A 6,000-nucleotide genomic window follows, 5' to 3' on the forward strand; every position below is an offset into this window, starting at 1 on the left:
TCTCCCTTATCTTAATTTCAATTCCTTTCATTTTCTGGTAGAGACAAAGGAGACACGTTTTATCCATGGACCCAAAACTCCGGCGCCGGTCACGGACTAGGGAAGGCAGCCTTCCCTTGGTGTTTAATCATTGCAGGGATGCCGCTTTGATTATTCCCCCATGTTTCAGAGGTGTCAGACCACACAGGGACGCCTGCCTTGGTCCTTCACCCTTAGTGGCAAATCCCGCTTTTCTGGGAAAGGGGCAAGTACCCCAACCCCTTCTCTCCGTGTCTCTACCCCTTCTCTGCCTTTCTGGGGGTCAAGAAACCCCCAACCCCTTCTCCTTCACCCTGAGTGGCAAGTCCAACTTTTCTGGGGGAGGGTCAAGTATCCCAACCTCCTATCTCTGTACCCTGATCCCTTATTTCCACACCCCAACCTCTTATATCTCTGCGCCCTGATCCCTTATTTCTGCACCCCAACCTCTTATATCTCTGCACCCCGATCCCTTATTTCCATGCCCCGACCTCGTATCTCTGTGCCCCGACCTCTTCTCTGCTTTTCTGGAGGGCAAGAACCCCCCAACCCCTTCTCTGTGTCTCTACTCTTTTCTCTGGGCTTGCCTCCTTCACTATGGGCAAGCTTCCACCTTCCATTCCTCCTTCTTCTCCCTTAGCCTGTGTTCTTAAGAACTTAAAACCTCTTCAACCCTCACCTGACCTAAAATCTAAGCATCTTATTTTCTTCTGCAATGCCGCTTGACCCCAATACAAACTTGACAGTAGTTCCAAATAGCCGGAAAACAGCACTTTCAATTTTTCCATCCTACAAGATCTAAATAATTCTTGTCGTAAAATGGGCAAATGATCTGACGTGCCTGACGTCCAGGCATTCTTTTACACATTGGTCCCTCTCTAGTCTCTGTTCCGAATGCAACTCATCCCAAATCTTCCATTTTTCCCTCCCACCTGTCCCCTCAGTCCCAACCCCAAGCGTCGCTGAGTCTTTCTAATCTTCCTTTTCTACAGACCCATCTGACCTCTCCCCTCCTCCCCAGGCTGCTCCTCGCCAGGCCAAGCTAGGTCCCAATTCTTCCTCAGCCTCTGCTCCTCCACCCTATAATCCTTTTATCACCTGCCCTCCTCACACCCAGTCCGGCTTACAGTTTTGTTCCATGACTAGCCCTCCCCCACCTGCCCAGCAATTTACTCTTAAAAAGGTGGTTGGAGTTAAGGCATAGTCAAGGTTAATGCTCCTTTTTCTTTATCCCAAATCAGGTAGCGTTTGGGCTCTTTTTCATCAAATATAAAAATCCAGCCCAGTTCATGACTTGTTTGGCAGCAACCCTGAGATACTTTACAGCCCTAGACCCTAAAATGTCAAAAGGCCGTCTTATTCTCAAAATACATTTTATTACCCAATCTGCTCCCGACATTAAATGAAACTCCAAAAATTAAATTCTGGCTCTCAAACCCCACAACAGGATTTAATTAACCTCGCCTTCAAGGTGTACAATAATAGAAAAAAGTTGCAATTCCTTGCCTCCACTGTGAGACAAACCCCAGCCACATCTCCAGCACACAAGAACTTCCAAACGCCTGAACCACAGCAGCCAGGCGTTCCTCCAGAACCTCCTCCCCCAGGAGCTTGCTACAAGTGCCAGAAATCTGACCACCAGGCCAAGGAATGCCTGCAGCCCAGGATTCCTCCTAAGCCGTGTCCCATCTGTGCGGGACCCCACTGGAAATCGGACTGTTCAACTCACCTGGCAGCCACTCCCAGAGCCCCTGGATCTCTGGCCCAACGCTGTGTGACTGACTCCTTTTCGGCTTAGCGGCTGAAGACTGACTCTGCCTGATCACCTCGGAAGCCCCGTAGACCATCACAGACGCCAAGCTTTAGGTAACTCTCACAGTGGAAGGTAAGTCCTTCCCCTTCTTAATCAATACGGAGGCTACCCACTCCACATTAACTTATTTTCAAGGGCCTGTTTCCCTTGCCTCCATAACTGTTGTGGCTATTGACAGCCAGGCTTCTAAACCTCTTAAAACTCCCCAACTCTGGTGCCAACTTAGACAATACTCTTTTAAGCACTCCTTTTAGTTATCCCCACCTGCCCAGTTCCCTTATTAGGCCGAGACACTTTAACTAAATTATCTGCTTCCCTGACTATTCCTGGATTACAGCTGCATCTCATTGCTGCCCTTCTTCCCAATCCAAAGCCTCCTTTGCGTCCTCCTCTTGTATTCCCCCACCTTAACCCACAAGTGTAAGATACCTCTACTCCCTCCTTGGCGACTGATCATGCACCCCTTACCATCTCATTAAAACCTAATCACCCTTATCCCGCTCAATGCCAATATCCCATCCCACAGCATGCTTTGAAAAGATTAAAGCCTGTTATCACTTGCCTGCTACAGCATGGCCTTTTAAAGCCTATAAACTCTCCTTACAATTCCCCCATTTTACCTGTCCTAAAACCAGACAAGCCTTACAAGTTAGTTCTGGATCTATCCCTTATCAACCAAATTGTTTTGCCTATCCACCCCATGGTGCCAAACCCATATACTCTCCTATCCTCAATACCTCCCTCCACAACCCATTATTCTGTTGTGGATCTCAAACATGCTTTCTTTACTATTCCTTCACACCCATCATCCCAGCCTCTCTTCGCTTTCACTTGGACTGACCCTGACACCCATCAGGCTCAGCAAATTACCTGGGCTGTACTGCCGCAAAGCTTCACAGACAGCCCCCATTACTTCAATCAAGCCCAAATTTCTTCCTTATCTGTTACCTATCTCAGCATAATTCTCATAAAAACACACGTGCTCTCCCTGCTGATCCTGTCCAATTAATCTCCCAAACCTCAATCCCTTACAAAACAACAACTCCTTTCCTTCCTAGGCATGGTTAGTGCAGTTGGAATTCTTACACAAGAACCGGGACCACGCCCTGTAGCCTTTTTATCCATACAACTTGACCTTACTGTTTTGCCTAGCCCTCAAGTCTGTGTGCAGCGGCCGCCGCCGCCCTAATACTTTTAGAGGCCCTTAAAATCACAAACTATGCTCAACTCACTCTCTACAGTTCTCGTAACTTCCAAAATCTATTTTCTTCCTCACACCTGACACATATATTTTCTGCTCCCCGGCTCCTTCAGCTGTACTCACTCTTTGTTGAGTCTCCCACAGTTGCCATTGTTCCTGGCCCGGACTTCAATCCGGCCTCCCACTTTATTCCTGATACCACACCTGACCCCCATGACTGCATCTCTCTGATCCACCTGACATTCACCCCATTTCCCCATATTTCCTTCTTTCCCATTCCTCACCCTGATCACGCTTGATTTATTGATGGCCGTTCCACCAGGCCTAATCACCACACACCAGCAAAGGCAGGCTATGCTATAGTACAAGCCACTAGCCCGCCTCTTAGAACCTCTCATTTTCTTTCCATCGTGGAAATCTATCCTCAAGGAAATAACTTCGCAGTGTTCCATCTGCTATTCTACTACTCCTCAGGGATTATTCATGCCCCCTCCCTTCCCTACACATCAAGCTCAAGGATTTGCACCCACCCAGGACTGGCAAATTAGCTTTACTCAACATGCCCCAAGTCAGATAACTAAAACACCTTAGTCTAGGTAGACACTTTCACTGGATAGGTACAGGCCTTTCCTACAGGGTCTGAGAAGGCCACCACAGTCATTTCTTCCCTTCTGTCAGACATAATTCCTCAGTTTAGCCTTCCCACATCTATACAGTCTGATAACAGACCAACCTTTATTAGTCAAATCAGCCAAGCAGTTTTTCAGGCTCTTAGTATTCAGTGAAACCTTTATATCCCTTACGGTCCTCCGTCTTCAGGAAAAGTAGAACGGACTAAAGATCTTTTAAAAACACACCTTACCAAGCTCAGCCACCAACTGAAAAAGGACTGGACAATACTTTTACCACTTTCCCTTCTCAGAAGTCAGACCTGTCCTCAGAATACTACAGGGTACAGCCCATTTGAGCTCCCATATAGATGCTCCTTTTTATTAGGCCCAAGTCTCATTCCAGACACCAGACCAACTTAGACTGTGCCCCAAAATAACTTGTCATCCCTACTATTTTCTGTCTAGTCATACTCCTATTCTCCGTTCTCAACTACTTATAAATGCCCTACTCTTGTTTACACTGCCGGTTTACACTGTTTCTTCATGCCATCACAGCTGATATCTCTTGGTGCTATCCCCAAACCACCACTCTTAATTCCCTCTTAGAGTGGGTAGATGATCTTGGCTGGCAGGGCACCCTCCAATACTTCCACCCTGATGAAGTTCTATTCTTTACTTTTATACTCACTCTTATTCTCATTCCCATTCTTATACCACCCTTTACCTCTCCCCAGCTATCTCCACCACACTATCAACCTTACCCATTCTCTCCCAGCTGCTTCTAATCCCTCCTTAGCAAACAACTGCTGGCTTTGCATTTCCCTTTCTTCCAGTGCCTACATAGCTGTCCCCACCTTACAGACAGACCGGGCAACATCTCCTGTCTCCTTACACCTCCGAACTTCCTTTAACAGCCCTCACCTTTACCCTCCTGAAGAACTCATTTACTTTCTAGACAGGTCCAGCAAAACCTCCCCAGACATTTCACATCAGCCAGCTGCCGCCCTCCTCCACATTTATTTGAAAAACCTTTCTCCTTATATTAACTCTACTCCCCCCATATTTGGACCTCTCACAACACAAACTACTATTCCTGTGGCCGCTCCTTTATGTATCTCTCGGCAAAGACCCACCGGAATTCCCCTAGGTAATATTTCACCTTCTCGATGTTCCTTTACTCTCCATCTCCAAAGCCCAACTACACACATCACTGAAACAATTGGAGTCTTCCAGCTCCATATTATAGACAAGCCCTCTATCAATACTGACAAACTCAAAAATGTTAGCAGTAATTATTGCTTAGGAAGACACTTACCCTATATTTCACTCCATCCTTGGCTACCTTCCCCTTGCTCGTCAGACTCTCCTCCCAGGCCCTCCTCTTGTTTACTTACACCCAGCCCCCAAAATAACAGTGAAAGGTTGCTCGTAGATACTCAACGTTTTCTCATACACCATGAAAATCGAACCTCCTCCTCTATGCAGTTAGCCCATCAGTCCCCATTACAACCTTTGACAGCTGCCGCCCTAGCTGGATCCCTAGGAGTCTGGGTACAAGACACCCCTTTCAGCACTCCTTCTCACCCTTTTAGTTTACATCTCCAGTTTTGCCTCACACAAGGTCTCTTCTTCCTCTGTGGATCCTCTACCTACATGTGTCTACCTGCTAATTGGACAGGCACATGCACACTAGTATTCCTTACCCCCAAAATTCAATTTGCAAATGGGACCAAAGAGCTCCCTGTTCCCCTTATGACACTGACACCACAAAAAAGAGTTATTCCACTAATTCCCTTGATGGTCGGTTTAGGACTTTCTGCCTCCACTATTGCTCTCAGTACTGGAATAGCAGGCATTTCAACCTCTGTCACGACCTTCCGTAGCCCGTCTAATGACTTCTCTGCTAGCATCACAGACATATCACAAACTTTATCAGTCCTCCAGGCCCAAGTTGACTCTTTAGCTGCAGTTGTCCTCCAAAACCGCCGAGGCCTTGGACTCAGTATATTGTTAAATGAAGAGTGTTGTTTTTACCTAAATCAATCTGGCTTGGTGTATGAGAACATAAAAAAACTCAAGGATAGAACCCAAAAACTTGCCAACCAAGCAAGTAATTATGCTGAATCCCCTTGGGCACTCTCTAATTGGATGTCCTGGGTCCTCCCAATTCTTAGTCCTTTAATACCTATTTTTCTCCTTCTTTTATTTGGACCTTGTATCTTCCATTTAGTTTCTCAATTCATCCAAAACCGTATCCAGGCTATCACCAATCATTCTATATGACAAATGTTTCTTCTAACAACCCCACAATATCACCCCTTACCACAAGATCTCCCTTCAGCTGAATCTCTCCGACT

Source organism: Homo sapiens, chromosome 2 (assembly GCF_000001405.40).
Source record: "Homo sapiens chromosome 2, GRCh38.p14 Primary Assembly".
Taxonomy (NCBI): Eukaryota; Metazoa; Chordata; class Mammalia; order Primates; family Hominidae; genus Homo; species Homo sapiens.